Source organism: Homo sapiens, chromosome 2 (assembly GCF_000001405.40).
Source record: "Homo sapiens chromosome 2, GRCh38.p14 Primary Assembly".
NCBI lineage: Eukaryota > Metazoa > Chordata > Mammalia > Primates > Hominidae > Homo > Homo sapiens.
In genome coordinates, this window is record NC_000002.12 from 15,465,632 (window position 1) to 15,482,655 (window position 17,024).

General features: G+C 38.2%; 1 protein-coding gene across 9 annotated transcripts in view, besides 1 other annotated feature; it reads right to left on the reverse strand.

Annotated features, from left to right (window-relative positions):
* NBAS (NBAS subunit of NRZ tethering complex) overlaps positions 1-17,024 on the reverse strand; it is a 782,426-nt gene that overhangs the window by 686,723 nt on the left and 78,679 nt on the right. For all 9 annotated transcript variants that reach the window (XR_007076390.1, NR_052013.3, XM_017004317.2 and 6 more), the window contains 7 exons: positions 12,595-12,658; positions 10,056-10,249; positions 8,436-8,693; positions 7,591-7,716; positions 2,751-2,902; positions 2,033-2,173; positions 1,698-1,776 (listed from right to left, as the gene is read on the reverse strand). Coding sequence is in view for 7 of the 9 variants with exons in the window: in XM_017004317.2 (XP_016859806.1) it covers positions 1,698-1,776; positions 2,033-2,173; positions 2,751-2,902; positions 7,591-7,716; positions 8,436-8,693; positions 10,056-10,249; positions 12,595-12,658 (1,014 nt within the window). In the remaining 2 variants the exon portion in view is untranslated. The remainder of the gene's footprint in view (positions 1-1,697; positions 1,777-2,032; positions 2,174-2,750; positions 2,903-7,590; positions 7,717-8,435; positions 8,694-10,055; positions 10,250-12,594; positions 12,659-17,024) is intronic.
* Positions 554-747: a silencer, noted in NCBI's record as "fragment chr2:15606309-15606502 (GRCh37/hg19 assembly coordinates)". NCBI's record gives its function as "represses an EF-1alpha promoter that drives an FKBP-Casp9 reporter gene in an ReSE screen in K562 erythroleukemia cells {active_cell/tissue: K562}" and the evidence as "EXISTENCE:reporter gene assay evidence [ECO:0000049][PMID:32094911]".

Below are 17,024 nucleotides of genomic sequence, written 5' to 3' on the forward strand. Positions count from 1 at the left end.
TATCTGAATATTTTCATTACTAAGTTTTAACAGTGAAATTCATCAAATTCACCTACTTTTCAAGAACTTTGCTGAATTCTCTAAAAAAAAGTAAGCTCAACAAATACTTTAAATGTTACTGTTACAGTATAATAATAAATATACTTACTACTATCATATAGGGAATAGCAATTTAAAAATTAAAAAATAATGAAAAAAATTAACTGGATAGTCAAACTGAACATTTTAGGCACTTTTTAAAAAAGATATCATTAGAGAAACTAAGGCTAAGTATAAAAATAATAAATTGTATCTGTACAGACTTCTGCAATATATTACCTCAAAACATCACAGAACTCAGGCATATCAACATGACGTGTTTTAAAGTAATGTGATCATCCAATAGCCAAACTAATTGTATCTATCAATAAAACTACTAAGAGTGTTTTGTAACTTGTTTGTAATGATAAATGGTAATGATATAGTCATTACCAATGTTTTTTTAATAACCACAGCCCTCTTTCAGTATTTGTTTAAAAACATTTCAATTATATTAGCAGGGTGGGGGAATCGAAGGCTTTTGGATTTGCCTGCATGGTCAGACGTTCTTGGGACCAGCATTACATTATCAGATGTGACATACAGTGCCTACTGTGTGCCAGTGCCAAGAGCTGCGAGGCACACACACAAAAGGGAGGCAGAACACAGACTAAGAAAGTAACCTCCAAGTGAAGTCAAACTTCAATAATGAAAAACTTACCTTAAAATCTGGAGAACTTCAGCTATAAGAGTCATGTGAAAAAGCAACCTAACCTACGTATTACTGAAATGTGGCTGACTTCCACTTACGCTTTTAACAATATCTAAGTTGGTCTTAAACTACAGAGTGCTACTGAAATGCCCAACATGGGGACATCTATGTTTGTGTCCCTGAAGACCCAAATGTGAAGTATACTGTTTTTAAGCTCAAATAATCTAACTTCAGCCCTAATTAGGATCAAAGGTGAATCAACTAAATTCAACCCACTAACAAATAATTAAAATACGCCAGGCATAGTGGCTCACACCTGTAATCCTAGCACTTCAGGAGGCTGAGGCGGGTGGATTGCTTGAGTCTAGAAGTTCAAAACCAGACTGGGCAACATGGCAAAACCCTGTCTCTAAAAAAATGCAAAAATTTGCCATGTGTGGTGGCATGTGCCTGTAGTTCCAGCTACTCAGGAGGCTAAGGGATGAGAATCGCCTGAACCCAGGAGGCAGAGGTTGCAGTGAGCTGAGATCATGCCACTGCACTCCAGCCTGGAGAACAGAGTGAGATCCTATCTCAAAAAAAAAAAAAAATCACTAAAATAAAACGAGTCAGAAATATTCACATTAAAACCTAGTATATACTGAAATCTGGTATGGAAAAAAGTTATGTGCCATTATCTTAAAATCAAAATATAAAAGTAAATGAAAAAGATTATAAATCTAGAAAACACAAATGCACTGAAATGGCTAAGGCACTTCTATTCCCTAGTCTAACAAAACAACTTCTGGCTTTCACAATCTCTAATTTTTACCAAAACTAGTATATAAGAGAACTTGCTTCTATAAGAAATTAATTTTTCCCAGAAAAATAGTTCTAAAGACCAAGAATATCCGATATTAGGGCAGCCATAGCATTTATAATGACAGATCAAATGAACATAATTGGTTTGACAAAAATTATTCATTACCTCATATGTTGCAAGTCGATCTAAGTAGGTTAATAACTTCCGTCTACAACGGCAAAGTTCCTTTTGTTCCAGTGTCAACCTGTTTTGAATAACTATGTTAGGCCACTTATATTTACACAGAATTATTTCTCTAGGAGTTATAATGAAAATGATTAATATTCCGTTGAGCCCAAAACTCATGAAACAGTTCAGAAAAGCACAAGGGTAAGATAATAGTAAGTACATTTGATCTAAGTTGCTAAAATAATTTGGACTAATTATTACTAGTAAGGAACACACTGAAATGATTAGTTATTTTAAAGAAACTATCAAATGAACAGTAACAACTCATTTACTTGGAAAAGTTCACTAATTTCAGTAGTTCTTGTCTCTTCTTGAGCTCCTTTTCCTTTTTATTCTTGGCAGGCTCTTCATCAGGTGGTGAAAGCTCTTCATAGGAGATACTGTCAATGTCTATTTCACCAGGTAATGTAAATCTGCAAGTATAAAAGAACAAATATATTTTCATCATTTTTAAAAACTTCGTGTTGTGAAAAGCTTTCTCCTATTTTGACTGATTTCATTATTGATTTCCACAAAAACAGAAGAAAGTATTTGAAAAAAACTTTTGCCATTGTAAACAAAGTGATCATTCATTATATCCACAGATGGGCAAAAAGTCATCAGTAATTATTACAAATAGAAATCTAAAAATCAAGAAAATGAAAACTATTTAGGAAGAGATGTGGGGTTACATTCACTCAATGTAAAGCAGCCTATGCTGAAAATGTCCACAGAGTTTGCTATTTGAATCACTTCTACTTAAGGTCTTCAAATGGTAGTGTCAGTCTCATTTTAATTATTTACTTCTCAGATATACTCTCATATTTATATTTTTTAAAAAGTTCCAAATGCCTGATGAGCAATGACTTCAGGTAAGACAGTATTGATCAAAAGCAACTGCTTCAGTACAGAATAACTTAAATAAAGAAAAGTTTACCCAGTCCAATGTCTCAGTACAAAAGTTTTCACAAAGTCACCTTTACTTTGAATCCAATTCTTTCTGTAACCAACCTGCCATCATCTGCTCCTTTCCCTATTGCTAAAAGAGCCTCCAGGTCTGTGCCTTTTAATCCATACTGAAGCAGTTCTTTTGCAGCATCCACATTTTCAGGAACTCTTTCCAAACACTCATGGAGAACCCAGGATCGCTTCTTTATTTTACTCTGCATATAAAGGAAGAAACAGAGGAATTACAGAATCCATGACATCTTACAACACATTACAACTGCCTTCAGAATTGTAAAGCTATACCTGATGTATTACAGCTATTTAGGACCTTGGCCATAGGGAGCTGCTAGAGGAACTCAAGAGAAAAGCAGCCAGTTGCCTAATGGTGACTACAACTGGATGCGGGGAGTGTGAGTTGACCTGCTTGCTTTCTTCCTCTAATGAGCTACGCAGAAACAGAAAGCTCAGGACTCATTTTTGGAAATATAAAATGTTTCCTCCTAACTTTTATAAATGCCTTTGGTTTGCACCGTGGCTGTATAATAGAGCAGACAATAAGGCAGAAAGGCAAGATATATTCTGTCATAATTAATAAGCATGTTTAACTTTTAAACAAAACAAATGAGCCCATCAAATTTCTGTATTTATTTGACCATGAGATATATCCCAGGGTGTGAATAACTTGATCATAAAAAGTCATGATATGCTGTTTTTTGGAAAGATCAAAGTCCTATTCCTCCCTCCCAACTATTTCCTCCAACTCCATTCAAAATCTCTGACTTTATTAGTCTTGCTAGTGGTCTATCAATTTTGTTGATCTTTTCAAAAAACCAGCTCCTGGATTCATTGATTTTTTGAAGGTTTTTTTGTGCCTCTATCTCCTTCAGTTCTGCTCTGATCTTAGTTATTTCTTGCCTTCTGCTAGCTTTTGAATGTGTTTGCTCTTATTTCTCTAGTTCTGTAAATTGTGATGTTAGGGTGTCAATTTTAGATCTCTCCTGCTTTCTCTTGTGGGCACTTAGTGCTATAAATTTCCCTCTACACACTGCTTTAAATGTGTCCCAGAGATTCTGGTATGTTGTGTCTTTGTTATTGTGGAAGACAGTGTGGCGATTCCTCAAGGATCTAGAACTAGAAATACCATTTGACCCAGCAATCCCACTACTGGGCATATACCCAAAGGATTACAAATCTTCCTACTATAAAGACATATGCACACGTATGTTTATAGCGACACTACTCACAATAGCAAAGACTTGGAACCAACCCAAATGTCCATCAATGATAGACTGGATTAAGAAAATGTGGCATATATACACCATGGAATACTATGCAGCCATAAAAAAGGATGAGTTCACATCCTGTATAGGGACATAGATGAAGCTGGAAACCATCATTCTGAGCAAACTATCACAAGGACAGAAAACCAAACACCGCATGTTCTCACTCATAGGTGGGAATTGAACAATGAGAACACATGGACACAGGGTGGGGAACATCACACACCGGGGCCTGCTGGGGGGTGGGGGGAGGGGGGAGGGATAGCATTAGGAGATATGCCTAATGTAAATGACGAGTTAATGGGTGCAGCACACCACCATGGCACATGTATACATATGTAACAAACCTGCACGTTGTGCACATGTACCCTAGAACTTAAAGTAAAATAATAATTAAAAAATAAAAAATAAAAAAAAAATCCCTGACTTGCCCTCTTCCTAGAAAGAGCTATTATGGTTATAAATTTTAATTAAGATTTGACTCATTCCCTAGGATCCTTTATATATTGCCTCACATCAGTTCTTTCTTCAAATGTCTCTTAATTCACTTTCCCTTTTCCACAGCTGCGGCCTCCATACCAGTCTAAATCATCAACACAAAACATCTAGCACACTGTAGGAGTCCCCTGCCCCAAGCAAGGTTTCCTACCTTCCTTCCACTCCAATTCTCTCTACACCATCTTCCTCTGCTTCCACAGTCAGAAATCCACAACAGTAGATAAATGCCTAAGTCATCAGAAGCTTTCCACATCCTCCTGAACTCAAATCAATATATCTTTTCAATCATGTTTCCCAGTGTTCACTATTGTCAAATATCAGTGCCAGCAAACTGGTTGATGTACAGAGCTCATTTATCCATAAAATGTTTACTGGGCACCTACTGCACACCAGCCACTGAACTAGACATGGAAATATAGCAGTGAATAAAACAGATTTAGTCACTGGCCTCATAAATCATGCTCAGTGTCTTTTAATTTGTTCATACCATCTGTCCTGTTAAGAATGTCTTCCTCCCTTCTCATTCAAGAAGGCCTAATTTAAATCCTTCCAAATCCCTGCTCCAAACATCTTCACTATATAAAATCTTCCATCTCTACCAGATCTATAATAATCACTATCTTCACTGGGTTTCTAGAGTTGTATCTGAAATCTACTTATACGGCCAGTTATTTTTAATATGGTGAACCCCCGTCTCTACTAAAAATACAAAAATTAGCCAGGTGTGGTGTTGTGTGCCTGTAGTCCCAAGCTACTTGGGAGGCTGAGGCGGGAGAATCACTTGAACCAGGGAGGCAGAAGCTGCAGTGAGCCGAGATCGCACCATTGCAATCCAGCCTGGGCAAAAAAAAGCAAAACTCCATCTCAAAACAAAACAAAAAAAATCATAAGCTCCCTATGAGCAAAAGCCACATTTATGCCTGTCCTGTACCCCTTCACAGTCCCTAGCATAGTGCTCTTGCTCTTAACTGTCTATTTAACTAAACGAAATATTCCCCTCCCCAAAAAAGTACTTGCTTTGTCTCTCTTAACATCCCTCAACTCCCTCAGAGACAAAAACTGTCCTTTACTGTATCCCAGAAAAAGATATACATGAACTCATGAGCTCATTGTCTTAGATCACAAAACAAGAAAGAAAAATAATACAGAATTAGTGTTTTGATTTTCTAAAGAAAATACAAGCAACTTTATCTTCTTCCGTTTCATTACCTCTCATGCTCTTTCACCTCTGATATCTTGCTTGTATTAATGTTAGGTTTATCATCCTGTTTGGCTGATGCATCATCTTCTTCCATACAACTTTTTCATGTTATATTTTTACTTTTAATTACTAACGTATAAAACTTTTAGGGAAATAATCATCATGAAATTTTCCCAGTGTTTCCTATAATCTTCCACAATGCAAAGGTATTTTCCTTTCTATATGTTAAGATCAGAAGTCTCAACCTTTTTAAAAGTATGCCATGAGTCTAACTATAATTCTTTCTTACAAAGATGCCAAAGGTTAAAACATATAGGCTTGCTATGAAATCAATATGTCCCCCAAAATCCATATGTTGAAAAACTAATCCCCAGAGTGATGATGTTTGGAAATGAGACCTTTAGAAAGCAATTAGGTCATGAGAGTGGAGGCCCCATGATAGGATTGGTGTCCTCATAAGAGGAGGCAGTAGAGAGCCTTCTTTCTCTCTCTCTGCTGTCTGCCATATAAGGACACAGCAAGAAAGAAATCCATCTGCAAACCAGGAGAGTGCCCTCACCAGGAACGAAATTGGCTAACACCTTGATTTTGCACTTCCCAGCCTCTAGAACTAAGAGAAATAAATTTCTGCTGTTGAAACCACATAGTCTGATATTTTTGTTGCAGCGGCTAAAACTAATTGAGACAAGACTATATTAACCTTAACTATGGGAGGCAGGTAACAGGAAGTATCCAGTTTTGAGATTTAAGTTTTAAAAAGGCATATTTCGCAGTTTTCATATATGTTACCTATTTATTGCCTCTCAGCTCCAAATTTCCCCTCAAAGCCAGCTCTGTGGTAGCATATCTCATTTGTGGTTGACACGATTTTAAGCTCTGGGTGCTGGAGGGCCACTGCAAAGGAAGAGGCTCTGCTTTCTAGTCCTGATGTGCTTTGGTTCTTTTCTTCTTGCTCCTATGGCTTGGCCACCAACAAGGCACGTGGGCAACATCAAGTGGCACTTACTTCCCCGCTTCCTCCCTCTGTTGACAACCTCCCACTGAGTTTCAGTGACACTCTCATGGGCAGATTGTTTTCTAGTGAATCACCCAGGCACCTGAGAGGGAAGCTTCCCAGACTGGAAGCTACAGTAAGGCTGCCTATAGGAGTAGACAGTTTTTTCTTGCCAGTCTTGGCCATGATTCCTTAATTATCTACCAGCCTTGAGCCACATGCATGCTGGTAGGGGTTTCCTGCTTCCTAGTCCCTGGGGTCTTCTAAACCCCAACCTCAGCTCACTGGCCCCCCCCAGAAGCAGGCGTCCAGCTTTCCTATCCATCCCATATCTCCCTGACTGCCAACCTTGGCAACCGTGGACCAGCCCTGGCTCAAGGCAACCCAGAGAACTTCTCTTCCATCCTACATGCTGCAACCACTCCTGGTCCAATGGGTCTGAATCCCAGCCTAGGGGAGGGGCCTCCCTTCCAAGTTCATTCCCTTCATGGATATGTCCCTTCAGCCCTAGGGTAGTCCTTAGCGTTCTCTTCACATCCTTTATAGTTCATCTCTGGTTACTAGAAAATAATTCTCCATATTGTAAATTTCCCTGTTTAAATTACTGTGTGATTTCTGGCATCTGACTAGCTCTTGACTCATGCAGGTAAAGAGAAGTGATTGTGGTACAGGAAAGAAAACGTTAGGCCGAGACCAAGTAGTTAGCTGGTTTATCTGTGAATATTTGTTCACATGTATTCAGCATCAAAGTCCAGTTGCAGGGGCAATAAAATCTAACAAAAAGACCATTTTTCCAGCTGAGAAAATTGTACTTCATTGGCTGTATTATAGAAAAGTCAGCAATGTAAAGTACTCTAAAATGAAGCCCTATAAACAAAAGATATTACATGAATATACATTTTACCACATTACCAAAATATTTAAACATACCAAATAATTCTGAATTGAAGCAACGTTGACCGCTGACTTCCTCCACTGCCTCTGATATACAAGGTCAGTATCCAGGCCGTAGGTATGAGCCAAGGACAAGGCTTCCTCATACTCTTCACTTTCAATCTTCAGATAAAAACACGAGGACAGGAATGTTACATGACTGAATTATCCACAGGGTCCTGATGATGATACAATGAATGATGATAATCCCTTGGACTTATCCAGCATGTCACTAATTCCTGTGCACTGTGGCACCAGAAGCTCACAGATATTTTGAGGAGCAGAAAGATCTCGTGTTTCTTTCAGCACTTCAACAGAAAGATGAGAGATAAAAGGTGCAAAGCTCTCGTTTTAGAGTAAAACAGCGGCAAAACCAAGACAACCATGGAACAACCCGGCTTCTAGTCCAGAGCTCCTACCACGACATTGCAAGAACAGCACAAATCACGTGAACACACAGTGCTGGTCACCTCGGCTTCCCAAGCAAGCCCTGGACTAGAAAGCAAGTCTGAACTTCTTCCTTCACCCTCTGTAGATGGCTGATTTAAACACAGATAAAGGGAGAGCTGAAGGCCACATGAAGGGTAGCAAAGAAATGAGCTAAGCCACCAAGTGGATAATCAGTCTAAGTGAATTCAATTTTTATCCATGGTTTTGATTTTGATTATTTAGGTACAAAGATTAGCATTATTTTAAAAAGCTTTATAGAACTGATATTTTTAACATGTCAATGATCCAACATCCCTCTTGAAATTTTCTCCTTTATTAAAAAATTAACTTTTTCTCAATAAAAGAAAAGCTTGATGACTTCAAACTTGGGTAGTAATATGCTACTCTCTCACCTTCCTCTGATAAAGTTCCTCTGGTGTCGTGGAGCGCAAACTCACAAGGCGGTAGTTTTTAGTAATGGTTCGTGGGCGTTTCCGTGGTGGTGCAAATCGCTCCATTTCAGTCACCAAGTAAAGGCCCTGTTTTATATAACCAAAGTAGCGAGCCTTGGCAGATATTTCATAATCAGAATCAGAATCCTCTTCTCCTTCATCTTCTTCTCCAGCTCTAGTCTCCAAACGAGATCGTTTGGGGGCAAGTTTAATCTCACACTAAATTGAAAAAGGAGATTTGAAGTTAATAGTAAGGAAATAAGAATAACTTTTTAGAATTAATGAAAGAAAATATATTTCTAAATCTACTCTGGTTTGATTCATTAAATCAGCTATGTGATCAAGATTAACAATGGAACTCAAAGGAACCTTACAGCAAGCATTATATACATCAGAAATATGCACATACATTATCAGCTCAAATCTAAACTAAAGCCTGTTTTTTTCTTCTTCTTCTTCTTCTTCTTCTTCTTTGAGATGGAGCCTCCTCTGTCACCCAGGCTGGAATGCAGTGGCGTGATCTCAGCTTACTGCAACCTCGGCCTCCCAGGTTCAGACGATTCTCCTGCCTCAGCCTCCCGAGTAGCTGGGATTACAGGCACCCGCCACCACGCCCAGCCAATTTTTGTATTTTTACTAGAGATAGGGTTTCACCATGTTGGCCAGGCTGGTCACAAATTCCTGGCCTTAATTGATCCACCCGCCTTGGCCTCCCAAAGTGCTGGGATTAGAGGTGTGAGCCACTGAGCCCAGCCTAAAGCCTGTTTTAATAACAGGTCATTAATACGGTCTTGTACATATAATTATCAGGTCTTGTACCTGATAATTTGATGATTTGTTTTTGTCTCTTTAGAGAATGAACATAAAGGTACTTACATTTGTTTTACCAAGAATAGCTCTCCCTCACCCCCTTATAAAGATGTCTAACAGCTTTGCTAAGTTCTGAGTCTGAAAGTCTGGCTGTTAAAGATAACTTTCATTCCAGACTTAACAGAGCTGGCTTAGATTTTAAGCCATAGTTTTCTTTAAGGAACATCTTTAGATTCCATAACAAACTTCAGAGTAAAAAATATGTCAATCTGCATTGCTGAAGTGAAAGCTATTAAAGGTTGTTACCCTTGAAAGGCTTAAAATAAAATTTTTAAATGACCAAAAGATAACTTTACAGAACTAGCCTCTATTTTCAAGTCTTTTGTCATAATAAACAAGTTTCCTTACTAAAAGAATCAAAAACTTTGTAAGTTGCCATGCTTTTTGGAAATGGGTTAAAGAGTATTTTTCTTAGGTACTGATACCATTCTACATTTTTAAATGACTAATCGAGGGAGGAAAAAAATATATCATTTCAGTGAAAAAGAAATACTTTATACAGAGCAAAATGACAACAAATTTTCTTCATTATAATTGCAAATTTTTTTATTCACTAAAAAATGGATTTTTTATACTACAACCATTACCTGATTCCAATCACAGATTTTTATTTTTAAAGAAAAGATAATAAGACAACTCAAATAAAAACCAGATATTTAAATTTTTGGTTAAATACATAACTATTCTCAAACAAACAGGAAAAAGCCTTACCTCCAAACTTAAAAATCCCCCATCATGGGTAGCAGTGACTTGAGGTGATGGTTCAAACCATTCACAGGATTTTCCCAGTAAATTCTTCAAAGTTTTCACAGATGAAACAGTTAAAGCACCAGAGCATCGAGCTAAAGTCACTGCACTGTCTGCCCACCAATTGACATCTATCAGTGGGTAAAAGGACTCTTTATCTAAGAAGCGAAAAACAAATCAATACAAATGCATCTGCTAATGTGGTTTAAATTCAAAATATTTAGTATAATAATCAATTTTAAAACAAAATTTATCTACATTATTTGGGCCCTAATGGTATGTTAAATAATAAGAAAAAATAAAATGTAAGTCATTCTCAAAATTTTACTCTATGAGGTATAAAATGTTAATTCCCTTGACAAATTGAGCGCCAACAATTTGTCAGTCTAGGTCTAAAATTCTAAGGATACAAAGGCAAATAAACTGAGGTCTTTCATTTCAAGAATACACTCAGGAGAGAGATGTGTCACTACTTTCAACCTAAGTTGAAAGGCAGGTGTCTACCAGGTGTGCATACATGAAGGTCATATAATGTTTTGAAAAATGTACACATACCACTTTCAGACAAACACTGAGAGAAATACACCCTTTAGAAAAATATAAGACAGATATGTAATAGTTTCCAGTGCTGATTTCCTCTTAAACTTGTAACTAATCAGAGAGGGAAAAAAAAAATTTATGGCTAGCAAAGAATCTTTAGAAATGAAAATGAATTATGGGCCGGGCACAGTGGTTCACGCCTGTAATCCCAGCACTTTGGGAGGCTGAGGTGGGCAGACCACAAGGTCAGGAGTTCGAGACCAGCCTGGCCAATATGGTGAAACCCCATCTCTATTAAAAATACAAAAATTAGCCAGGCATGGTGGTGCGTGCCTGTAGTTCCAACTACTGGGGAGACTGGAGAATCACTTGAACCCGGGAGATGGAGGTCGCGGTGAGCCTAGATGGTGCCACTACACTCCAGCCTGGGCGACAGAGCGAGACTCTGTCCAAAAAACAAAAAGAAAAAAAGGAAATGAATTATGGTTCACCAAACTAAGGCATTCAAAAGGCAATGCCATATTTATTATAATTTTACTGTACATTTTTTGAATATCACCTGTTATACAAAACATATGATGTGGTTTAAAGGTAAAAGTAAACCATAAATTTAACAACATATTTAAACATTAGACTAAGAAGAGAGAGATTTTAAATATGGAGTTCAGAACCATGAGACTAACTCATTGTTTTAATGAAAATAAAAAGCATTAACAACACTTTTTCCCCATGTAAGCCTAAGGCAATCCATGTAAATAAGAAATTTCAAGAAAATGTGAAAAGCAGAGTTCCTGGGGCTTATCACTAAGTGTAAAGTAGAAAGAAAGAGGAGCAAATCACTAAAATCAAATTCTAATTTCTGCTTTGACAAAGTAGTACTTTTCCTCAAAAATACGTCTGGATGAATATTTTGGATGATTATTTAAAGCGAATAATTCAAAGCATGGAACCTGATGCATAATATTAATCAATATTTTTAATCTTCTTTAAATGTGAACTAAAAGCATTTTTTTTTTTGAGACGAACTCTCACTCTGTCGCCCAGGCTGGAGTGCAGTCCCGCGATCTCGGCTCACTGCAACCTCTGCCTCCCAGGCTAAAGTGATTCTCCTGCCTCAGCCTCCCGAGTATCTGGGATTACAGGTGTGCACCACCACGCCTGGCTAATTTTTTATTTCCAGTAGAGACAGGGTTTCACCATGTTGGCCAGGCTGGTCTTGAACTCCCGACCTCGGGTGATCCACCTGCCTTGGCCTCCCAAAATGCAGGCAAGAGCCACCGCGCCCGGCATAAAAGCATATTGTAATAACAGAGCCTGAACCTTATAACTATCACTGATTTTACTGAAGACACTTAAAAATTCATCACGGATTTAACTTAGAAAGTTTCACCTAAAGAAAAATAACACAGTCAAAAACTAAAAGTGAAAAAATCTCAAAAGTAACCCCTACAGGATTTTATAATATCTCTGTTTCAATCTAGCAATCAAATGACAATTATTACTTTTATTTAAATGTAAATCTTGATTTTTTTCTACTTATAAAAGCAATATATGCTCATTGTAAAAAAGAAATTTTTTCTTTAAAACGTGGAAATGTATGCAAAGACAAAGAAAGCCCCACCAGCCTAACCCTAATTACCCCCAACCCGCGAGATAACTTTACTCAGTGTTTCTTCTTTGATGAAGCTTGATCTCACCCAAGGGCATCTGAAAAGGAGCACGCTTCTAAGCATTGAACTCAGTGTACCATCTCAATGCTGGCTCCTGGCAGGAGAGCCAGCTTTTAGGAAAGCCTGACCATCAGAAAACTGGATCTGTTGCCTTGACCCAACTCTATGAAATCTTGATGTTTCTTCCAAAGTGCAGCAAAAGTATCTAGAGACTTTTTATATCATCCAAAGAGAATCTTGTATAATAATAGGAGTATATTAAGGTTTCAATTATCACATTTCGTAGAACTCACCTTTGATTTTTTTTCTCTTCTCAGTAGAGAGCCTCCAATCAGGATTAAGGTCATCATAGCCTGGCTAAATATGAAAATAATGACTTCCTGAGTGAACTATGTAAGAAAATTATAAGAAAATCATCAAGAACTGTGGACTTTTTCAAATAAAGAGATGACGCTTTCCCTTGATCTCTCAATTACAACTAATTGAAATCTATTTATTGCCATGATAGTCTGGAAAAGCAATTGTTCTTACACTTAAAATGTGCACATGTACATATTATGACTTGATTTATGAAGAATACAGCATGCATATGAACAACAGGATAGCAAGTATACAATCAATACATATGAAAGCAAAATACACTAAGAATTCATCCTATACACATGCACACATGTGATGAATAAACACTGGCCTGGATACAGATCTTATCCCAGCCACTTATAAACTGAGCAACCCCTCCAGGCTTTAATTTTCAAAGCTTTGAGACTTGACTAGGCAACCTCCATGTTACCTCCTAGTCCTTTTTATGACTAAGAATTTACCAGGTAAAAAAAATATAACCATGCAGTCCTTCCTAAAAATGAATCCATTCATACTGTAATCTTAGGGCAATATGGTGTCATGCTCTTCTTTGAGAATATAACAGCACATTGATATCTCTCAAATATCAATTTGAGAATAAGCCATTACCTGACGACCTCTTGGCTTAGTGTTCCCTTCTTAGTCTCTGGAATTACAATAGTATGGGCAAAGAGTAAAAAAATAGTTGGGGTGCTCATTTGAAATCTGAAATCTAAAAAAAGCGTTGCTATACTTAAGTCAAAAAACTGTGCTTTTTCATCTAATGCAACAAAATACACACATGTTTACTATCAATTTTTCAATGGCTCACACTTCAGAGCTATTTCTTTCCACAGCCTGGAAGAACTTCCTATTCTCCACTATTATGGTAAATCACTCAGAGCAGACCCTGAGAACAGAAGACACGGTCTTAAACTTAATCAGAAAAAAAATTACCATAAAAGCCTACTTATATACCAAGGGGAAGAAATGGAGTGTCCTGGTTTACTTAATCATAAGAAACGATGACTAAGTTTCGAAAAATCATTTAAAAAAATAAGATACATATTATTGAAAACAGTCAACTAAACTGAAACTTTATTTGGTCATTTTAAAGCACCTGACAATTTTTCAATGCCTCCAAATCATGAGTACTACATACTCCAACCACATGCATGCCACCATGTATTTACGTGGCACATGTACCTTCCTACTTACATTTTGGAGTACACAAGGGAAATACAGAGTAAAAAACCTTAAGCCCCTCAAAGAACAACAATTATGATTCAGCCTTGGATACATTTAAGGACATACAGATCAAAATGAAATTTGACAAGAAATCTTAAGGAAATTTTAAAAATAAATAACTCTCACTTGAGAATTCAAAGTGTGCATGTCTTTGTCAAAACTAATGATAAGAAGGAGCACCACGAATAAGCACTAGAACCGGGGTCTGCAGTCACCTTGGGACTAGACTCTTCCCTGCACACTGCTTAAATAATGGGCAGCTCCTGTCAATTTGACATTAAACACAAGGTGAAGATGTGTTCTTCTGTTTCCAGAACTCTGTCATACTCATCCCTGTATTCCCAGATCCATCACAGTGCCCACCTGTCATAGCAGCTAAATGTCGAATAAGTAAATCAATCAACCAAATTTTAAGTCACTGAATTCTAATTACAATTCAATTCTAACATCTAAGCTATAGGAAAATTATCTGATATAGTACTAGGCTTCCTACACACTCCCAAAAGTGTGATTTCTTCTATTTAGTGAAAACATATTGGGGCCAGGCATGGTGGCTCACGCCTGTAATCCCAGAACTTTGGAAGGCCAAGGCAGGAGAGCTGCTTGAGGCTAGCAGTTTGAGACTAGCTGGGTGATATAGCAAGACCTCATCTCCCCAAAAAATAAAAATAATTAGCCAGGCACAGTGGCACACTTCTGTAGCCTCAGCTACTCAAGAGGCTGAGGTAGGAGGATCAACTGAGCTCAGGAGTTCAAGGTTGCAGTAAGCTATGATCACACCACCACACTCCAGCCTGGGCAACAAAGCAACACTCTATCTCTAAAAAAATGAAAATAAATAAATGCTGAGACAAAAGGAAAAAAAAAAAACCGATATTGCAGTCCCAAAACTCAAGCACACAGAGAGCTAATAAATTAATATAAATTAATATAATCCAAGATCACATTTGTTACCTACACAAAGAGAGGTATAGATAAAAGGTATAGGGGCCTTCGAAGGATGGACAGAGGATTTTGGGCATGGGTTTAAGAAAGATGAAGGAAATTCAAGGGGTACAAAGAAGTTTTATGGTGGTATTCTTTTAAGACTGGATAAGACTTGGATGTGGAAAATGAATAAAGGAAAACATTCCAGTCTGAAAGCATAATGTGAACAAAAATACAGAGTCAGGAAAATACAAAGTTTATTCAGGGAAAAAAAGGAGAACAGTTTAATAAGTCCAGGTCAGCAGGTTTTAATTATCTTGATTTTTGTTTGTTTGGGGTTTTTAGGGGGGATGTTAATGATATCCTTTTTTATTGAGGTGATCTTAGCATAATGTAAAATTAACCATTTTTAAATGAACAATTCAGGGGCACTTAGTGCATTTACCATGTTGTGTGACCATCACATCTATCCACTTCCAAAACACTTCTATCACTCCAAAGCAAAACCACTAGCCCATTATGCAGTTACTCCCTTTTCCTCTTCCCCTGGACCCCAGGAACCACCAATCTGCTTCCTATCTCTATGGATTTACCTATTCTGGATATTTCATATAAATGCAACCATAAAATATGTGACCTTTTGTGTCTAGCATCTTTCACTTAGTATAATATTCTCAAAGTCCTTCCACCATTGTAGCGCATATCAGCACTTCGTTCCTTTTTGTGGATGAGTCATATTCTATTGTATGGATATACCACAGTTTGTTTCTCCATATATCCGTTAATGGACATCTGCATTGTTTCCACCTTTTAGCTGTTGTAAACACTGCTGCTATGAATATGTAGGTGCATGTATTTGAGTACCTGAAGTGTGAGCCATTGAAAATTTGATAATAAGCATGTATGTGCACTGAAGCTAGCCTCAACTTACCATCCTTCCACCCCAGGGCCTCTATGCGTGAAGAGACTCAGGATCAGACCATGCATCACCACATCTGATACACACTGTAAACTGGTGCTCCGTGGACAGGATCACCAAACTCCCCATGACCCACAAGAAAGCTCCTGGCACCATGTGAATACATTTCAAGAAGCAACCTCCATGCCACTTCTCTGTATTTGCTGGAGCTCAGAACACAATACCCCAAAGTATAACAGCATTGCATGGCACCATGTGAATACATTTCAAGAAGCAACCTCCATGCCACTTCTCTGTATTTGCTGGAGCTCAGAACACAATACCCCAAAGTATAACAGCATTGCATGTTGAGTACTTTCAACTGAAGCAACCGAAAGGGCCTCAGAAATACTGTCCCACTGACCTTCTCCTGCCTTCCTGTCTCAAGCCCCTCCTTGTCTCCCAAAGCAAGTCACAGAAACCAGAATTCTTCTTCTCCAAGGTTCATCACAGAAACTAGAACTCCTCCCCCAAAGGAAGCTATAAAACCTAAAAACATCGCTCTCTCCCTTCTCCCTTGAAGACCCTTATTCCAGAGGGCTCCTGCCTCACAGTAGGAGAGGAATGTTATACAGAGAAGCCAAAAAGAATCTGGACAGACAGGCCTTGCTGGGTTTCCCCTTCAGTCTATCACCATTAGGCCATACCTTTTTGTCCCATCATATTTTTACAAGGCTGTCCATTCTTCATCAAAACTAAGCATAAAAACAGTCTTCCCTGGGTCTTTATTTCTTTAATTTAATTTAGACAAGGTTTCTCTCTGTCACCCAGGTTGCAGTGCAGTGGCGTGGTCACGGCTCACTACAACCTCGACCTCCTGGGCTCAAGTGATCTTCCCGACTCAGCCTCCCGAGTAGCTGGGAATATGGGCACACGCCACTTTTTTATTTTTTGTAGAGATGAAGTCTCACCATGTTGCCCAGCCTGGTCCCGAACTCCTGGGCTCAAGCAATTCCACCCACCTAGGGCTCCCAAAGTGCTGGGATTACTGGAATGAGCCACCGCACCCAACCAGAGCCTTCATTTCTGAAGGTGCCTGTGTCATGTAAAATGTTGATTAAGTAAATTTGTCATGCTTCTCTCGTTAACCTGTCTTTTGTTATAGGAGTGATGGCTGTGTCCTCTTATGATGGGTTAGAAGAGGTATCACACCTTTCCACCCCAACAGTTTCTGGCACCCAAAGTGGGGCAGCTGAGACACCTGACTTGCTCTGGAACCTGCAGACAAAATCCTGGAACAACTGACAAAAG